We start from the raw sequence: 18,578 nt of genomic DNA on the forward strand, positions 1-18,578 counted from the left end.
CTTTCGTCTTTGAATTCTTGAGTCCTTTGGATGGATGGATGGATGAGGTGTGTGGGCACAGCCAAGTGACTTAGGTTGTGGCCTTCCTGTGTATCACTTCATTCTCTCCTCCCCTGTCCCTCAGCACAGATATGTTCCACACTCCATTGAGCTGGGGCTCCTAAAGGTTTTATCCACTTGGCTGCCAAGGAAGGCATTGGACAACAGCCAGCTTTCTCCCAGAGAGCCCAGCTGACAGAAACTAGCTGTGACCACACAGACAGTAGGAGTATGCAAATGTCCCTCCTTGTCCACATTTCTTGTTTGTGTCCCAAGGAGCTATTTCCCTCTTAGCCAGGATCTGGAGTTTCAGGGCAGGCCTGGCAGTGCTGAGGCTGCTAAAGATGGTCTCTCAGGCTTATTTCTGAGGCCGGCTGAGTCTCCGGAGTTTCTTGAGTTGACTGAGCAGCTCAGAGATAAAAGCCTGAGGGAGAAACAGGAGTGAGACCAGGCTTGGGGTCACAATTCACCCCCCACCCTGCCCTCCCTAATCTTCCCCTGCCCCTGACTCCCCAGAGAAGGGAGAAGGACCCACAGCCAAGCCTTCCCTTCAAATACTCCTCATTAGCTACCTCCCCCATTGGGCCTCCTCTTACCCCAGACCAGCAGAAGAACATCCCTTACCTCTGTGGGGCGGGGGCAGTTCCCAAGAATGGCCTAGATAGGAGAGAACACAGACAGGGCCCCAAGTCACAGCACTTTCCCGCAAGTCCCCACCAATCTCCCAAGAATTCTCCCCTCTGGATTGGTTCTCTGCACTCCACCAAAGGAGGCAGAACCTGGGTTTCTGGGTTCCCACTGACCCAAGGCCAGCTTCTAGCCCCCATCCTACCTCCAGCTGAGTCTTCTGCTCCTCTGTGGATAGATCCATGAGAGCTTCCAGGTCAATCTCAGGCTCAGAAGGGGTTGCTTGATCCTATTTGGAAATCACATGGGTCTCAGAGGGGCCTGACCAGCTGGTGCTGGAATGAAGGTTACTGTCAGGGACTCAACCCACCTCTCTCCAATTTCCCATGGTTAGACTTTCTCCTCACTCAGAACACCCATTCAGTTTTCCATTCAACAGTAATTTACTAAACATATACTATATTTTGGCTGGGTGCAGTGGCTCATGCCTGTAATCCCAGCACTTCGGGAGGCCGAGGCAGGCAGATCACCTGAGGTCAGGAGTTTAAGACCAGCCTGGCCAACATGGTGAAATCCTGTCTCTACTAAAAATACAAAAATAAGCCGGGCATGGTGGTGGACGCCTGTAATCCCAGCTACTTGGGAGGCTGAGGCAGGAGAATCACTTGAACCCAGAACCTGGGAGGCAGAGGTTGCAGTGAGCCGAGATTGTGCCACTGTACTCCATCCTGGGTGACAGAGGGAGACTTCGTCGCAAAAAAAATAAAAATAATAAAAAAAGACATCTGTTAAGGGACTGTTACCCAAAAAATACAAAGAATTATTGACCAGGCACAGTGGCTCACTCCTGTAATCCCAGCACTTTGGGAGGCTGAGGTGGGTGGATTATTTGAGGTCACGAGTTCGAGACCAGCCTGGCCAACATGGTGAAATCCTGTCTCTACTAAAAATGCAAAAAGTAGCTGGGCCTGGTGGCACATGCCTGTAATCCCAGCTATTCAGGAGGCTGAGGCAGGAGAATGGCTTCAACCAGAAGGTGGAGGTTGCAGTGAGCGGAGATCGTGCCACTGCACTCCAGCCCGTCTGGGCGAGTCTCTGTCTTAAAACAAAAGCTGGCCACGGTGGCTCATGCCTGTAATCTCAGCACTTTGGGAGGCCAAGGCGGGTGTATCATTTGAGGTCAGGAGTTCTAGACCAGCCTGGCCAACGTGGTAAAACCCCGTCTCTACTGAATATACAAAAATTAGCTGGGTGTGGTTGCGCATACCCGTAATCCCAGCTACTCCAGGAGCTGAGGCAGGAGAATCGATTGAACCCGGGAGGCAGAAGTTGCAGAGAATGGATCACACCACTGCACTCCAGCCTGGGTGACAGAGCAAGACTCTGTCAAAAAAAAAAAAAAAAAAATTAAATTACAAGAAGAAGATGAACAACACAATTGAAAAATGGACAACAGATATGAACAGACACCCCACTAAATAAGATATATAGATGAAAAGTGAGTGTATAAAAAGATGCTCAACATCATATGTCATTAGGGAATTGCAAATTAAAACATTCATTCATTCATGTCATTCATTGCTAGTGGGAATGCAAAATGGTATGGCTACTTTGGAAGATAGTTTGGTGGTTTCTTACAAAACTAAACTTTTTTTTTTTTTTTTTTTGAGACAAAAGTATTGCTCTGTCACCCAGGCTGGAGTGCAGTGGCATGATCAAGGCTCACTGCAGTCTTGACCTCCCAGGCTCAAGGGATCCTCCCACCTCAGCCTCCCAAGTAGCTGGGACCACAGGTGCACACCACCACACCCAGCTAATTTTTTATTTTTTGTAGAGACAAGTCTCAATATGTTGTCCAGGCTGGTCTCAAACTCCTGGTCTCAAGTGATCCTCCCACCTCTGCCTCCCAAAGCACTGGGATTACAGGCGTAAGCACCATGCCCAGCCCTAAACACACTCTTACCATGCAGTCCATTAATTGCACTCCCTTGGTATTTACCCAAATGAGATGAAAACACATTCACACAAAAACCTGCACACAGATGGCTGGGTGCGGTGGCACACGCCTGTAATCCCAGCACTTTGGGAGGCTGAGGCGGGCTGATCACGAGGTCAGGAGATTGAGACCATCCTGGCTAACACAGTGAAACCCCGTCTCTACTAAAAATACAAAAAATTAGCTGGGCGTGGTGGTGGGTGCCTGTGTCCCAGCTACTCGGGAGGCTGAGGCAGGAGAATGGTGTGAACCCGGGAGGCAGAGCTTGCAGTGAGCCAAGATGGCGCCACTGCACTCCAGCCTGGGCGACAGAGCGAGACTCCATCTCAAAAAAAAAAAAAAAAAAAAAAAACCACACATGCACACGGATGATCTATAGCAGCTTTATTCATAATTGCCAAAACATGGAAGCAACTAAGATAGTCTTCAGTAGGTGAATGGATAAACAAACTGGTATGTCCAGAGAATGGAATATTATTCAGTGCAAAAATGAATGAGCTATCAAGCCAGGAAGAGTCATCGAGGAACCTAAAATGCATATGACAGTTAAATAAGCCAGTTTGAAGCCAGTCACAGTAGCATGCACCTGTATAGTCCCAAGGAGTCTAGCCTGGGCAGAAAAGTAGAGACCCTGTCTCAAAAAAAAGAAGAAGCCAACTTAAATACTCTATGATCCCAACAGTAAGACCTGCTGGAAAAAGTATGGCGATAGTAAAAAGATCAGTGATTGCCACAGGGGTAAGAGGGAGGAGGGACAAGTAGACCACAGGGGATTCTCAGGACAGTGAAACTCTTCTGTATGACACTATAACGGTGGATACATGTCATGCACATTTGTCCAAAACCATAGAATGTACAACACCAACAGTGAAGCCCAATTTAAACCATGGACTTTGGTTGATAATGTTGTCAGTGTAAATTCATTGATTGTAACAAATAATATATAACCTTGCTGCTGGGTGGGGGATAGTGGGGGAAGCTATACATATGTGGCGGCAGGGAGATATGGGAAATATCTTTTACCTTATGCTCAATTTGTCTGTGAACCTAAAACTGCTCTAAAAAATAGGTCTATTAAAAAAGGACGTGAGCTCAAATATAATTAATAAAATTAATATTTTACTGCTTCAACAAGGACATTCTTTCTGTTATCTTTTCATTTACCCATTTTACAGATGAAGAGGACTTTCTTAAGTGAAAACGATGTAGTAGTGAAGAACACGACTACTAGTACAGTTTAGTGCCACTTTCTTGATTCATGTGAAGGGCCACTGTTGCTTTTGCATTATCAGCACAAATGTCAACGTACTGAAAAAGGCAAACAAAATCTTAGCATTGGCCAGGCGCGAGGCTGAGGCAGATGGATCACTTGAGGTCAGGAGTTCGAGACCAGCCTGGCCAACTTGGTGAAACCTCCATCTCTACTAAAAATACAAAAATTAGCCAGGTATGGTGCCGTGTGCCTGTAATCCCAGCTATTTGGGAGGCTGAGGCAGGAGAATGGCTTGAACTCGGGAAGTGAGCCAATATCACGCCACTGCACTCCAGCCTGGGCGACAAAGCAAGACTCTCTTTCTCAAAAAAAAAAAAAAAAATTACCGTTATTATGAAAATAATCACAGAACCTCCGAAAGAGTTCTTGGGAATCTCCGAAAGAGTTCTTAGGAACCTCCATGGGTCACTAGACCACACTTCAAGAACTGATATGTTATCCATTTTTCTGTTGAGATTTTCAGTTTTTTTCTTACTGATTTAAGAACTCTTTCTTTTTAACTTATTGAATTCAGATTAACCCTAGATTCCACATATGATGGAAATAGCTATTGTGCTGGAGGGGTGCTGTTGGGGAAATACATGTATGTGTTTATATAGTTGAGTCTAATGGTATTTTCCAGTGTATATTGCTATTTTTTTTTTTTTTTTGAGATGGAGGTTTGCTCTTGTTGCCCAGGCTGGAGTGCAATGGCATGATCTCGGCTCACCGCAACCTCTGCCTCCCGGGTTCAAGCGATTCTCCTGCCTCAGCCTCCCGAGTAGCTGGGATTATAGGCATGCGCCACCACGCCTGGCTAATTTTGTATTTTTAGTAGAGATGGGGTTTCTCCATGTTGGTCAGGCTGGTCTCGAACTCCTGACCTCAGGTGATCTGCCCGCCTCGGCCTCCCAAAGTGCTGGGATTACAGGCATGAGCCACTGTGCCCAGCCCTTTTTTTTTGCTGACAGGGTCTCGCTCTGTCACCCAGGCTGGAGTGCAGTGGTGCGATCTCGGCTTACTGCAACCTCTGCCTCCCAGGGTGAAGCAATTCTCCTGCCTCAGCCTCCCAAGTAGCTGAGATTATAGGTGCTTGCCACCATGCCTGGCTAGTTTTTGTATTTTTAGTAGAGATGGGGTTTTACCATGTTGACCAGGCTGGTCTCTACCTCCTGACCTCAGGTGATCCACCCACCTCAGCCTCCCAAAGTGTTGGGATTACAGGCGTGAGCCACCGAGCCTGGCCTAGATTAAAAAACTTAAAAAGCAGAGCCAGAAAAGACATAAATGATAGAATTAGCAGACAAGGAAAACATAAACACAGTAATGAGAGATACAGAAGATAAAAGAAAGAATCAGGCCAGGTACAGTGGCTCACGCCTATAATCCCAGCACTTTGGGAGGCTGAGATGGGCGGCTCACTTGAGGTCAGGAGTTTGAGAGTTTGAGACCAGCCTGGCCAAAATGGTGAACCCCGTCTCTACTAAAAATACAAAAATTTAGCGAGGTGTTCTGACGTACACCTGTAATCCCAGTTACTCGGGAGGCTGAGGCAGCAGAATGGCTTGAACCCGGGAGGTGGAGGTTGCAGTGAGCCAAGATCATGCCACTGCCCTCCAGCCAGGGTGACAGAGCAAGACTCTGTCTCAAAATAAAATAAAAATATAAATAAAGAAAGAAATAAAAGAACCAGCCAGGCACAGTGGCTCATGCCTTAATCTCGGCACTTTGGTGGGGGTTAAGACAGGAGAGTGCTTGAGGCCAGGAGTTTGAGACCAGCCTGAGCAACATAGCAAGAACTCTTCTCCATTAAAAAAAAAATAAGAAGAAAAAAAAAGAACCAGGCCGGGTGCCGTGGCTCACGCCTGTAATCCTAGCACTTCGGAGGCCGAGGTGGGGATCACCTCAGGTCAGGGGTTCGAGATCAGCCTGGCTAACATGGTGAAACCCCATCTCTACTAAAAATACAAAAATTAGCCAGACATGGTGCGCATGCCTGTAATCCCAGCTACTCAGGAGGCTAAGGCAGGAGAATTGCTTGAACCAAGGAGGCAGAGGTTGCAGTGAGCTGAGATCATACCATTTGCACTCCTGCCTGGGTGACAGAGTGAGAGTCTGTCTCAAAACAAACAAACAAACAAAACCAAATGGAGCACCTAGAGAAGAAAAATTGCATATTTTAAATGTAAACCTTACTAGATAGAATTAACAGCATGTTTAACACTGTGGGGAAAAAAAAAAGGTCAGTTGAAGATATAGCAAATGAAATGAGCCAAAATGAAGCACAGATTAAAAAAAAACCTGGGTGGGCAGGGTAGTGGGGGAGGACAGAATAGAAAAGAACTTCGATGACCTATGGATATCAAGTGGTCTAACATCTGTAACTGGAATCTCAGAGGGTGTGAGTGGGCATTATAATAAAGATAAACTCTAGGCCAGGCGTGGTGGCTCATGCCTGTAATCCCAGCACTCTGGGAGGCTGAGGCAGGCGGATCACCTGAGGTCAGGGGTTTGAGACCAGACTGGCCACCATGGCGAAACCCCATCTCTACTAAAAATACAAAAATTAGCCGGGTGTGGTGGTGCATGCCTGTAACCCCAGCTACTGGGGAGGCTGAGGCAGGAGAATCAGTCAAACCTGGGAGGCGGAGGCTGCGGTGAGGCGAGATCGTACCACTGTACTCCAGCGTGGGCGATAAAGTGAGACTGTGTCTCAAAAACAAACAAACAAACAAAACACACTCTAATGATTAGAACTTTGCCTTTAAAAAAGTATCAGTCTTGGTCAGGTGCAGTGGCTTATGCCTGTAATCCCAGCACTTTGGGAGGCTGAGGTGGGAGGATTGCTTAAGTTCAGGAGTTCGAGACCAGCCTGGGCAACATGGCAGACCCCATCTCTATTTTTTAAAAAACATTTTAAGTTTATAATGTAAAAAAGTTACAGTAATCTGAAGTTAGCTTATTACTGAAGAAAGAAAAAAAATGTTATAGGCTGGGCACAGTGGCTCATTCCTATAATCCCAGTACTTTGGGAGGTCAAGGCAGGCAGATTGCTTGAGCCCAAAAGTTCAAGTCCAGCCTGGGAAACATAGTGAGACCTTGCCTCTAAAAAAAAAAAAGAAAGAAAAAAATATTTTTATAAATTTAGTGTAGCAGCTGGTTATGGTGGTTCATGCCTATAATCCCAACACTTTGAAAGGCCAAGGCAGGAGGATCGCTTGAGGTCAGGAGTTCAAGACCAGATTCTTTTTTTTTTTTGAGATGGAGTTTCGCTCTTGTTGCCCAGGCTGGAGTGCAATGGCATGATCTCAGCTCACTGCAAACTCTGCCTCCCGGGTTCAAGTGATTCTCCTGCCTCAGCCTCCCGAGATGCTGGGATTACGGGTGCCTACCACGTCCTGCTAATTTTTGCATTTTTTTAGGAGAGACGGGGTTTTGCCATGTTGGTGAGGCTGGTCTCAAACTCCCAACCTCAGGTGATCCACCCGCCTTGGCCTCCCAAAGTGCTGGGATTACAGGCGTGAGCCACCATGCCTGGCCTCAAGACCAGTTTTTTAAAACTTAAAATGACATTTTGTTGTTGTTGTTGTTTTGTGGAGTTTTTGTTTTTGTTTTTGAGTAGGGTCTCATTCTGTCACCCAGGCTGCACAATCATGGCTCACTGCAGCCTCAACCTCCCGGGCTCAAGCAATCCTCCTACCTCAGCCTCTCAAGTAGCTGGGACTACAGGTGCACACCACCACATCCGGCTAATTTTTTTTTTTTTTTTTTTTTACAATTTCGCTCTTGTCGCCCAGGCTGGAGTGCAATGGTGCAATCTTGGCTTACTGCAACCTCTGTCTCCTGGGTTCAAGCGATTCTCCTGCCTTAGCCTCCCAAGCAGCTGGGATTACAGGTGGCCACCACCATGCCTGGCTAATTTTGTATTTTTAGTAGAGACGGGATTTCACCATGTTGGCCAGGCTGGTCTCTAACTCCTGACCTCAGGTGATCCGTCCACTTCAGCCTCTCAAAGTGCTGGGATTACAAGCATGAGCCACTGCACCTGGCCCCTGGCTAATTTTTAAAAATTTTTTTGTTGAGTGGGGTCCCACTATGTTGCCCAGGCTGGTCCTGAGCTCCTGGGCTCAAGCAATCCTCCTGCCTCGGCCTCTCAAGTGCTGGGATTACAGTTATGAGCCACTGTACCCAGCAGGAAAAAAAGAATTTAGTGCAGCCTATGTGTACAGTGTTTATGAAATCTACAGTAATGTCCTAGGCCCTCACATTCACTCACCAACTCACCCAGAACAACTTCCAGTCCTGCAAGCTCCATTCATAGTAAGTGACCTATATAGTTGTGCCATTTAAAATCTTTTCTACCATATTTTTACTATACCTTTTCTATGTTCAGATATATAAATACTTAGCATTACATTACAGCTGCCCACAGTATTCAGTACAGTAAACTGCTGTACAGGTTTGTAGCCTAGGAATAATAGCTACACCATATAGCCTACATGTGTGGTAGGCTATACCATCTAGGTCTGTGTACATACACTCTATGATGTTTGCACAATGATGAAATTGCTTAACAATGTAGCATTTCACAGAATGTATCCCTGTGGTTAAGCAGGGCATGACTATATATTGAATATAAGGTATGTGTATTACTGAGTACAAGACTGCCACTGGGGTGCAGTGGCTTACCCCTCCCAGCACTTTGGGAGGCCAAGGTGGGAAGATTGCTTGAGCCCAGGAGTTAAAGACAAGCCTGAACAACATAGCAAGACTCCATCTCCATTAAAAAAAAAAAAAAAAAGGACTACTACGGCAACCTGGTGTTGAGAATATGGGCTCATATCACAGTCCAAATACTCTTGCCCTCAAATAATTTTTGAACTCTCAGAACATAAGCAGGTATATAAAACAACCCCTACTGAGATGAACAAGTGTGAGACTTGTGACTCTATGTCATGTAGGGTAGTTTCCTGGAAGCTGCTGCCTGATTTGACTCCCTTTCTTACTTCCTTTCCATACCCAGGGTCCTTACTCCTGACCTCTCCACTAGGGAGACCAGCAATTAAATAAGGCTCAGATGAACCAACAATTTTTTTTCCTTTTTTTATAGAGGCAATCAAGTTAAACACAAATGTTTGTTTCACACATTCATTGACAATACTGTTTTTTTTTTTTTGAGATAGGGTCTTGCTTTGTCACCCAGGCTGGAGTGCAGTGGCACGATCATGGCTTACTGCAGCCTTGACCTCCCAGGCTCAAGCAATCCTCCCTCCTCAGCCTCCCAAGTGGTTGGAACCACAGGCACGCACCACCACACCCTGCTAATTTTTTGTATTTTTTTGGACAGGGTTTCACCATATTACCTATGCTAATCTCGAACTCTTGGACTCAGGCAATTTGCCCCTCTCAGCCTCCCAAAGTGCTGGGATCATAGACATGAGCCACTGTGCCCAGCTGACAATACTTTTTTTAAGTCAAAAGTTTAATAGAATTATTAAATTCTAATTAATAGAATTAAAATGTCACTATATCAAAAAGGAAGCTACAGGAAAGGAATGTTTCAAAACTCTGGGATGGTCAACAGTGTCCCTTGCTAATGTGAAGATTAGATTTACCCCCAAGGCAGTGACTGGTGACCTTGGCCAGAGCTCTCAAAAGAGTGGTGGAAACAGAAGCCGGATTCCAGTGGATTGAGTGATGACAGGCAGGGAAAAAGTAAATAAGGCTGTGAGTGTGGACAAGTCCTTTAAGGAGTTTGGCTCTAAAGTGACAAGAAATGGGGGATACCAGGCCAGGCGCGGTGGCTCATTCCTGTAATCCCAGCACTTTGGGAGGCTGAGGCGGGTGGGTCACCTGAAGTCAGTAGTTTGAGACCAGACTGGCCAACATGGTGAAACCTCATCTCTACTAAAAATACAAAAAATTAGCCAGGTGTGGTGGTCGGCGCCTGTAATCCCAGCTACTTGAAAAGCTGAGGCAGGAGAATCACTTGAACCTGGGAGGCGGAGGTTGCAGTGAGCCAAGGTCATGCCATTGTACTCCAGCCTGGGCAACAAGAGTGAAACTCTGTCTCAAAAAAAAAAAAAAGAAAGAAAGAAAGAAATAGAGGGGATGGTAACAAAAGGGGTGCATGTTGGGCAAGGGTCTCCATAAAATAGAAGAAACTCATGTGTGTTTAAGTCCCTGCTTAGAAGGCAAATCATGCTCTACCTCCGGACAACAGGAGCTCTAGGACCCCAAGTCTGCGTCCCCAGACTTGGTTCCTCTGAAGACCCCACACCAGGCTGCACATCCAGGGAGAAGAGGTAGGTCCCTCCAACAAACGAAGGTTGGTCCCAAGATATTAAACAAGTAGAGTGTTGTATCCTTAGATGCTTTCCCACTGCTGCTGTCTAAGGTGGGTATCTGGGGTAGAGCCCTGGTGGGTGGGCAGGGGCTCTCCGTAAACTGGAATGGAGCAGAGTAAGGCTGGAGACTGTGCTGTCTTGACCTCTGCCCAAGATGACCAACAACCTGGGGCTTCCCCAGCCACTTAACTGCTTCCTGCTGAAAAGAGCAGGGATTGGGAGAGAAACTGCCACCTGGCACCTTTGGACAATTACCATGGCAATCACAGGCCAGGCATTTTATTCCAGTCATTGCCTGGGAACGCTCCTTCCACATGTCTTGCTTTCTGTGTTACAGGCTTATTACTGTACAGCCTCCAGCCCTCCACTTTCATCTTGCAAAACAAGGTTCTTTCTTTGATGTCTGGAAGGATTTGCCCCGGAATGTCAGAAATTTGAGACTGTATGCAAGTGCACAATAAACAATCTGAAATTGAAACTGATCCAGTGGAGAGTGCTGGAATTAGGGAAGAGCAGTGGATATGTCCTGCGAGGTCAGAGCAGATACAGGCCAAGATAGTTTGCCTCCCAGCTCCAAGGGGTCTCCCTACCCTCAGTGAGTGGGCTTGGGAGGTAGATGCTTGGGATGCTGCATCTTTGGTCAATACCTTGACCAAACTGACACATGACCCAGTTAGTTTCGAGATAGACTGGGTCACAACAATCATTCTTCACCACCTGCAACCCTAGGACTGCTGATAACCCTTACCCACAGGAATTATAGGGCCCTGCTGCTCCAAAAAGATAGGATCTGAGTCAACAAGAAAGAGAAACAAGGACAACATATTTTGAACTCCTGACTAGCTTGGCGTATGGTTCTCAGCCCAGCCACACATTAGAACCAACTGTGGGGCTTTTAAAAAATGCCCAGTATCTGGACTCCACTGTAGTAGATTTAAATTCAGTTGAGGAGGAGCCAGGGCATCTGTTTTTTTTCTTAAGTATTTCAAGTGTGGAGAACCATTGGCTGCTCAAATAAGTGGCCAGGCTCCACACCTGGTCCCAAGGTTTCCTAGTTGTGTGACCTTGGGCAAGTTACTCAACATCTGTAAACCTCCATTCCCTCAGCTGTAAAGCAGTACCTGCTGGCCAGGCATGGTGGCTCACACCTGTAATCCCAGCATTTTGAGAAGCCAAGATTGGAGGATCGTTCGAGCCCAGGAGTTCAAGACCAACCTAGGCAACATAGCAAGATCTCATCTCTATAAAAAAAGAAAAACAGTACTTGCTTAATGGAGTTGTGGGAAGGATTAAATGAAAGAATGCATGTCAGTGCCTGGCATTGAGCCTAGCACGTAGTTGTGTTCAGAATGTTATTCTTATTGCTGGAACAGCAGTTCTTACCTCTCTAGAATCCAGGTTTAAAGGTATATAAGTAAGAAAGTGCCGTTTCCAGTAACCAGGGACCAAGACCTGTCCTTTTCCCAGAGTGGGGTTGAAGAGTGTTAGTCAGAGCCAGGGTCAAAGATTGCTTAGGTCCTGGTATTGGCACTCAACTTTGGTTACTCTTAACATTCTAGTCCCGCACTGTCCATTCTGAAATAACGAAAATATTCTATATTTGTGCTGACAACATAGTAGTCACTAGCCACATGGGGCTATTTAACACTTGAGATGTGGCCCATGTTGGCTGGGTGCGGTGGCTCACGCCTGTAATCCCAGCACTTTGGGAGGCTGAGGTGGGCAGATCACCTGAGGTCGAGAGTTCGAGACCAGCCTGACCAACATGGAGAAACCCCGTCTCTACTAAAAATACAAAATTAGTCGGGCACAGTGGCGCATGCCTGTAATCCCAGCTACTCGGGAGGCTGAGGCAGGAGAATCGCTTGAACTTGGGAGGCGGAGGTTGCAGTGAGCCAAAATCACGGCATTGCACTCCAGGCTGGTTTACAGAGTAAGACTGTCTCAAAAAAAGGCAAAAGAAAAAAGAAATGTGGCCCATGTGACTGGGGAACTGAATAATTTTATTTAATTATAACTCATTTAAAGTCAAACAGCTACACATGGCTGATGGCTACAGAATTGGAAAATGTAGCTCTAGGCTGGGCATGGTGGTGCACACCTGTAATCCCAGCACTTTGAGAGGCCGAGGCAGGCAGACTGTTTGAGCCAAGGAGTTCAAGACCAGCCTGGGCAACATGGTGAAAAGCCGTCTCTACAAAAAAAAATACAAAAAAATTTGCCAGGCGTGGTGGTGCGCACCTGTAGTCCCAGCTACTCAGGAGGCTGAAGTGGGAGGATGGCTTGAACCCAGCAGGCAGAGCAGTGAGCTGAGATTGCACTACTGCATTCCAGCCTGTGCAACAGGGCAAGACTTTGTCTCAAAAACAAACAAACAAACAAAAAACAAAAGAAAGAAAGAAAGAAAGAAACAAAGAAAAAGAAAAGAAACGAAAATGTAGCTCCGGACATGTATGTGCATTGAACATGGGAGTAAATAAAGATATAAAATTTTGAAACATAGTGTGACCAAGCATTTTCCCTTCTATTGTCTCATTTGAGCCTCAGAAAGTCCTATAAAGGAGATATGACAGGCACTAACAGCCCTATTATAGATTAGGGATGTTAAAAGACCTTCCCCAGATCACAAAGAGCATTAGAGGCACAGACAAGCCTAGAGGGAGGCAGACTTCTGGACTTCAAACCGATGCTTCTTTCTTTCATCAGTTACAAAAGCTTTCTCTTCACGGAAGCACCTCACATCAGCCCTCCAGCTCCTGTGAAGGTCTCAGTGCCCTGGGTGGACCCCAGGCCCCCATCTCCTCCCACTATCCGCTGTGCTACCTACCTGGAAGAGCTCCTGAACTTGAGCATCCACCCATTGCTCCATCTCCAGCCAGCGCTGGAGCTGGCCCCGGTCATACTTCACTGTCAGGCGGCTGGGTCTCCGGGACCTGGGTATCTTGGAGGAGTCCGGGTGGGACTTGGACTCTGAGTCTGTGGATGATGTCCTTCTCCTCCCAGAAGCCCAGTGGACCTTCTTACATGGGTTCTCCCCATCTGGGCTGGGAGATGTGCAGGAAGCAGGGCTTGAAGACAGCATGGAAGTATTGGTCTGGGCAAGGAGCTGGGAAAAACCGCCAGTTCTGAGCAGAGCCACAGAGGGAAGTGAGGAGACAGAGAACAGGAGAGGCCAGCAGAGAAGAAATGAAGGCAGGAGGAGGGCCAAGGCTCCCAGGGAGGGGCAAGGGCAAAGATCAATAGGACTTTGGTGCTGGGAATGCCAGTCTCCTGGCTCCTCACTGCCAGCCAGTGAGTGGCACTCCAGAGCCATGCCCCAGCCTCCCTTTCTGCAGCTTCTAGGGCCCAAAGTGGCATAAACTGCAGATGAGCAAAGGTCAAGAGGCTGCCATGCCCAGGGAGGAGGAAGGGGCCCTGGGGTCCTGAAGGGTACAGGGCTCCAATCGCTGCTCTATGGCCAGCTCTGGAATGGGACCTGAGTCGTTCTCACCTGAGATCCCTCTGTATCCCACCTTCCTGGGGCTGGATCCACTCTGGGCTCTGAGAAGCTGTGGTCAGATTCCGCAGAAGCAGGGTCCCTGGCTGGCAGGGATTCTTACTCAGAGCGTAGCACTACTGGGGGCAGAGCCCCAGCTGGTAGATAGAGTTGGAGGTCAGTTATTGATGGCTCCCGTAGGACCAGTGCCCCCAGTGTCTGGGTGTGTCCGAATGTAAACTGCTATCAGCCTGGCCTATAAAGGCAGTTTACCTGCTTGTAAAGGCAAATTTATCAAGACTTGTCTACTATGCCCGCTCCCCTGAGGCAACTGCTTAGGAAGCCATGTTTATTACCACGTGACCCTCCCCCGATTCATGTATTTGCTGACACAGAGGAAACCTGCAAACCTAACTTATACACAGGTGTCAGGGACTAATACTTCCAGGCATACATACTTGCATTCTAAGGCAGGGTATTTTTGTTTAGTCTTTTATAATGAAAATTTCTAAACTTTAAAAAAAAAAAGTGACAGAAGAACACTGTAATTTTTTTTTTTTTTTTTTTGAGATGGAGTCTCGCACTGTCACCCAGGCTGGGGGGCAATGCTGCGATCTTGGCTCACTGCAACATCCGCCTCCCAAGTTCAAGCAATTCTCCTGCCTCAGCCTCCCAAGAAGCTGGGATTACAGGCGCCCACCACCATGCCCGGATAATTTTTTGTATTTTTAGTAGAGACGAGGTTTCACTATGTTGCCCAGGCTGGTCTCAAATGCCTGACCTCATGATCCACCCGCCTCGGCCTCCCAAAGTGGTGGGATTACTGGAGTGAGCCACCGTGCCCAGCCTGTAATTTTTTTAAAATGGGGCCAGGCATGGTGGCTCACGCCTGTAATCCCAGCACTCTGGGAGGCCGAGGCGCGTGGATTGCTTGAGCTCAGGAGTTCAAGACCAGCCTGGGCAAAATGGTGAAATTCTCTCTCTACCAAAAAAAAAAATAATAATAATACAAAAAATTAGCTGCTTTGGGAGACCCAGGCGGGAAGATTGCTTGAGGCCAGTAGTTCAAGACCAGTCCGGGCAACACAGTGAGATCTTGTCTCCATTAAAAAATGTAAACAATGGGCCAGGCACGGTGGCTCATGCCTGTAATCCCAGCACTTTGGGAGGCTGAGGTGGACAGATGACTTGAGGTCAGGAGTTTGAGATCAGCCTGGCCAACATGGCAAAACCCTGTCTCTACTAAAAATACAAAAATTAGCCGGGCGTGGTGGCACACGTCTGTAGCCCCAACTATTCAGGAGGCTGAGGGAGGAGAATCGCCTGGGCCCAGGAGGCGGAGGTTGCAGTGAGCCGAGATCATGCCACTGCACTCCAGCCTGGGTGACAGAGCAAGACCCCGTCTCAAAAAAAAAAAAAAAAAAAAAGTAAAAAATGAAAAGCAAGATTACTCAGATATGGTGGTGCACACCTGTCATCCTAGCTGCTTGGAAGGTGGGAAAATCACTTCAGCCCAGGAGTTCAAGGCTACAGTGAGCTACAATGGCAACACTGCACTTAAGCATGGGTGACAGAGCAAGACCCTGTCTCAAAAAAGGAAAAAGGCGAATGGATGACAGTTTAATGATGAAATTTTAGGCCCTCACTTAAGAAGATAAGGGAGGTGTTTGAGTGGCTGGAAACTAAGATGGCAGCCAGGAAAAGCCCAGGCTTTGGAGGAAGGCTGACAATCTGAGTTCAACTCAGCTTTGCCCTGCATTGGTTTTATAATCCTTGGCCAAGTTTCATAGCCTGTTTTCACATCTGCAGATTGGGCTTGTTGGGAAGATAAAATGAGATGATGCATGTAAACATTTAGCATGGCATCTGAAACAGAGTCCCTGTCAGTAGACATTCATTCCTGTCCTTTATTTACCTCCCCACTCTCCCTGCCCTCCTGGCGAGGCTCTGGTGGTCAATGCCTGGGCTTTCATCAGTGTGGCTCTCTTCCTGAGCAGGAGGAGGGGGGCCTCTAGGATGCATCTTGTTGACTCAGCTGTCACTTTAACAGTCTGTGGCCAGGAGGCATTATTATGGTAGTTCCCTGCCTCTTCTGTTTCCTATCTTCTGAAGGGTTTGAGAGCCCTTTCGGGAAAAGAAACTAGATGAGAAGAGTCACTGTGTTTTGTTCATTTATTTACTCACTCATTTAACAAAGATTTTATGAGCTCCCCTGGTAGGCCAAACATTATGCTCAGTGGTTATTCAAGAGCCACAGGATGGGCACGGTGGGTCACACCTGTGATCCCAGCACTTTGGGAGGCTGAGGCGAGAAGATTGCTTGAAGTCAGGAGTTCAAGACCAGCCTGATCAACATAGTGAGACCTTGTCTCTGTAAAAACTAAACAAAGGGCAGGCACGGTGGCTCACACCTGTAATCCCAACAGTTTGGGAGGCTGAGGTGGGTGGATCACCTGAGGTCAGGAGTTTCAGACCAGCCTGGTCAACATGGTGAAACCTCATCTCTGCTAAAAATACAAAAAGTTAGCCAGGCGTGGTGGTGGGTGCCTGTAATCCCAGCTACTTGGGAGGCTGAGGCAAGAGAATTGCTTGAACCCAGGAGACGGAGGTTGCAGTGAGCTGAGATCGTGCCATTGCACTCCAGCCTGGGCAACAAGAGCGAAACTCTGTCTCAAAAAAACCCCAAAAAATAACAACAACAACAATAACAACAAAAAACAAACAAAACAAAAAACAAACAAAGAAGAACAAAAGAGACACAGTCCCTGCCTTCATGGAAGGAACTTATAGTCTAGTGTGAAAATAAACAAACAATAATCAACTCATCAAATAAATGTAAAATTGCAATTTCATTTAGTGATTTGAAGAAAAGTAGGAGGTGCTATATGAATGTCTAATGGAGGTGTAACCTGGAAAGTGATAACATCTGGACTGAGTTCTGACAGATGAGTAGAAGTTAAACTGGCCTAGGAGCCAGCAGGGATGGGCCTGGCAGAATGCAGAGGACATGCAAAGGCCCTGTGGCAGAAGGGAGATGGTGAGTACAAGGGACTAAGAGGGTCAATGGGGCTGGAACAGAGGGAGGAGAGAGGGAAAAGTGAGGCAGGAGAAAGGGTTGAGGTACCCAGGCAGGGCCCTGTAAGCCACGTTGAGGAATTTTGTCTCCATCTTAAGGGCATTGGGCAGGCACTGAAGAGTCTTAAGCAATGGTGCTTGGGCAAGTTGACATGTTCAGATTTAAACTTCCAAACAATCACCGTGGCTGTTGCACAGAAAGACAATCAGAGGGCACAGAAGGGCTGGTGGAGGCCAGTTGGAAGGCCATTGCAGTAAAGCTAGTAGGGGAGGTAGTGCTGTCAATGGCAAGAAGCAGGCAAATTGGACAGCTATTTAGGAGGTAACGTTTAACAGATATTGACTGGTAATGGGCTGGGGACACACAAACATGCAAACTTTATGAAAGCCTACACAGGGACAGACAGATGCATACATGCAGCCTCTGTGAACATGTTTCAGGCCGGGCGCGGTGGCTCATGCCTGTAATCCCTGCACTTTGGGAGGCTGAGTCGGGCGGATCACCTGAAGTCAGGAGTTCGAGACCAGCCTCACCAACATGGAGAAACCCCGTCTCTACTAAAAATACAAAATTAGCCGGGCGTGGTGGCACATGCCTGTAATCCCAGCTACTAGGGAGGCTGAGGCAGGAGAATCGCTTGAACCTGGGAGGCGGAGGTTGCGGTGAGCCGAGATCGCGCCATTGCACTCCAGCTTGGGCAACAAGAGCAAAACTCCATCTCAAAAAAAAAAAAACCACCAAAAAACGAAAAACAAAGCAAACAAAAAAAAAACATGTTTCATTCGTAAACTGGGGGTTGATAAGATTCTATATGAGCACACAGCATGGATACCATGAAGCTTGATGGCACACTAATGAGTGATGTCCATTATTTATAGCAAGAGGCTCCTTATTATATCCTTCCAACTTAGCACTGACCCACATCTCCTCCCTGGCCTATTGGTACCACCATTCATCAGTAAGTTTGCCCAAAGATAAGGGAGCTCAAGATCCAAGATGAGATAAGAGATAAAAGCCACCAGGAGCACACAGCCACATCAGGGCAGAAAAAGAGGGTGGGGGCCTGGGCAGGGAGAAAGGTGCCTGCCTGCTCTCCTGGCTTGGGCCAGGTCCAGTGCTGAGATGAAATGGGCAGCAGGCAGACTCCAGCAGAACCAGGCTGCTCTTTTTAAATGTCTTTTCTTTTATAAAAACTTTATTATAGCCGGGCGCAGTGGCTCACTCCTGTAATCCCAGCACTTTGGGAGGCCAAGGCGGGCAGATCATGAGGTCAGGAGATCGAGACCATCGTGGCTAACACGGTGAAACCCCATCTCTACTAAAAATACAAAAAATTAGCCGGGCGTGTTGGCAGGCGCCTGTAGTCCCAGCTACTCGGGAGGCTGAGGCAGGAGAATGGCATGAACCCAGGAGGCGGAGCTTGCAGTAAGCCGACTGCGCCACTGCACTCTAGCCTGGGGGACAGAGCAAGAAGCTCTCTCAAAAAAAAAAAAAAAGAAAGAAAAACTTTATTATAGAAGAAAAACATGTTTATTTAGAAACTTTTCTAAATTTTCTAAAACATGGACAGGCACGGTGGCTCATGCTTGTAATCCCAGCACATCGAGAGGCCGAGGTCGGGAGTTCGAGACCAGCCTGGGCAACATGGTGAAACCTCATCTCTACTAAAAATACAAAAAATTAGCTGGGCATGGTGGCACGTGCCGGTAATCCCAGCTACTCGGGAGGCTGAGGCAGAAGAATGTCTTGAGCCCGGGAGGCGGAGG

At 47.3% G+C, this 18,578-nt stretch overlaps 1 protein-coding gene across 2 annotated transcripts, besides 4 other annotated features; it reads right to left on the bottom strand.

The window, feature by feature from the left end:
* Positions 1–152: 152 nt before the first annotated feature.
* Positions 153–13,410, bottom strand: PPP1R14D (protein phosphatase 1 regulatory inhibitor subunit 14D). Of its 2 annotated transcripts, NM_001130143.2 has the most exons (5): positions 13,089–13,410; positions 1,934–2,049; positions 872–955; positions 664–696; positions 153–463 (listed from the first exon to the last, which is right to left on the bottom strand). In NM_001130143.2, the coding sequence occupies exons 1-5, from the start codon at positions 13,341–13,343 to the stop codon at positions 349–351; spliced, it is 603 nt and encodes a 200-aa protein (NP_001123615.1). In that variant the 5' UTR covers positions 13,344–13,410; the 3' UTR covers positions 153–348. The 2 variants fall into 2 exon arrangements, with proteins under 2 accessions (NP_001123615.1, NP_060196.1); NM_017726.8 differs by lacking the exon at positions 1,934–2,049.
* Positions 9,916–10,416: an enhancer, noted in NCBI's record as "H3K27ac hESC enhancer chr15:41117412-41117912 (GRCh37/hg19 assembly coordinates)". NCBI's record gives its function as "activates a minimal SCP1, AML or CMV promoter by ChIP-STARR-seq in naive H9 embryonic stem cells {active_cell/tissue: H9 hESC(naive)}" and the evidence as "EXISTENCE:reporter gene assay evidence [ECO:0000049][PMID:30033119]".
* Positions 10,417–10,917: an enhancer, noted in NCBI's record as "H3K27ac hESC enhancer chr15:41117913-41118413 (GRCh37/hg19 assembly coordinates)". NCBI's record gives its function as "activates a minimal SCP1, AML or CMV promoter by ChIP-STARR-seq in naive H9 embryonic stem cells {active_cell/tissue: H9 hESC(naive)}" and the evidence as "EXISTENCE:reporter gene assay evidence [ECO:0000049][PMID:30033119]".
* Positions 10,913–11,207: an enhancer, noted in NCBI's record as "tiled region #7770; K562 Activating DNase unmatched - State 5:Enh". NCBI's record gives its function as "activates a minimal TATA promoter and a strong SV40 promoter by Sharpr-MPRA in K562 cells {active_cell/tissue: K562}" and the evidence as "EXISTENCE:reporter gene assay evidence [ECO:0000049][PMID:27701403]".
* Positions 10,913–11,207: a silencer, noted in NCBI's record as "tiled region #7770; HepG2 Repressive non-DNase unmatched - State 6:EnhF". NCBI's record gives its function as "represses a minimal TATA promoter and a strong SV40 promoter by Sharpr-MPRA in HepG2 cells {active_cell/tissue: HepG2}" and the evidence as "EXISTENCE:reporter gene assay evidence [ECO:0000049][PMID:27701403]".
* Positions 13,411–18,578: the final 5,168 nt, after the last annotated feature.

This window comes from Homo sapiens, chromosome 15 (genome assembly GCF_000001405.40).
Source record: "Homo sapiens chromosome 15, GRCh38.p14 Primary Assembly".
NCBI lineage: Eukaryota > Metazoa > Chordata > Mammalia > Primates > Hominidae > Homo > Homo sapiens.

Excerpts from the sequence above, each read along its gene's own strand:
- PPP1R14D (NM_001130143.2), bottom strand. The coding sequence starts at position 13,343 with ATGCTGTCTTCAAGCCCTGCTTCCTGCACATCTCCCAGCCCAGATGGG. Across the intron at positions 2,050-13,088 it reads AAGTTCAGGAGCTCTTCCAG|AGTCTTGCTCTGTCACCCAG; the intron begins GTAGGTAGCACA and ends TTTTTTTGACAG. Across the intron at positions 697-871 it reads AGCAGAAGACTCAGCTGGAG|GCCATTCTTGGGAACTGCCC; the intron begins GTAGGATGGGGG and ends TCTCCTATCTAG.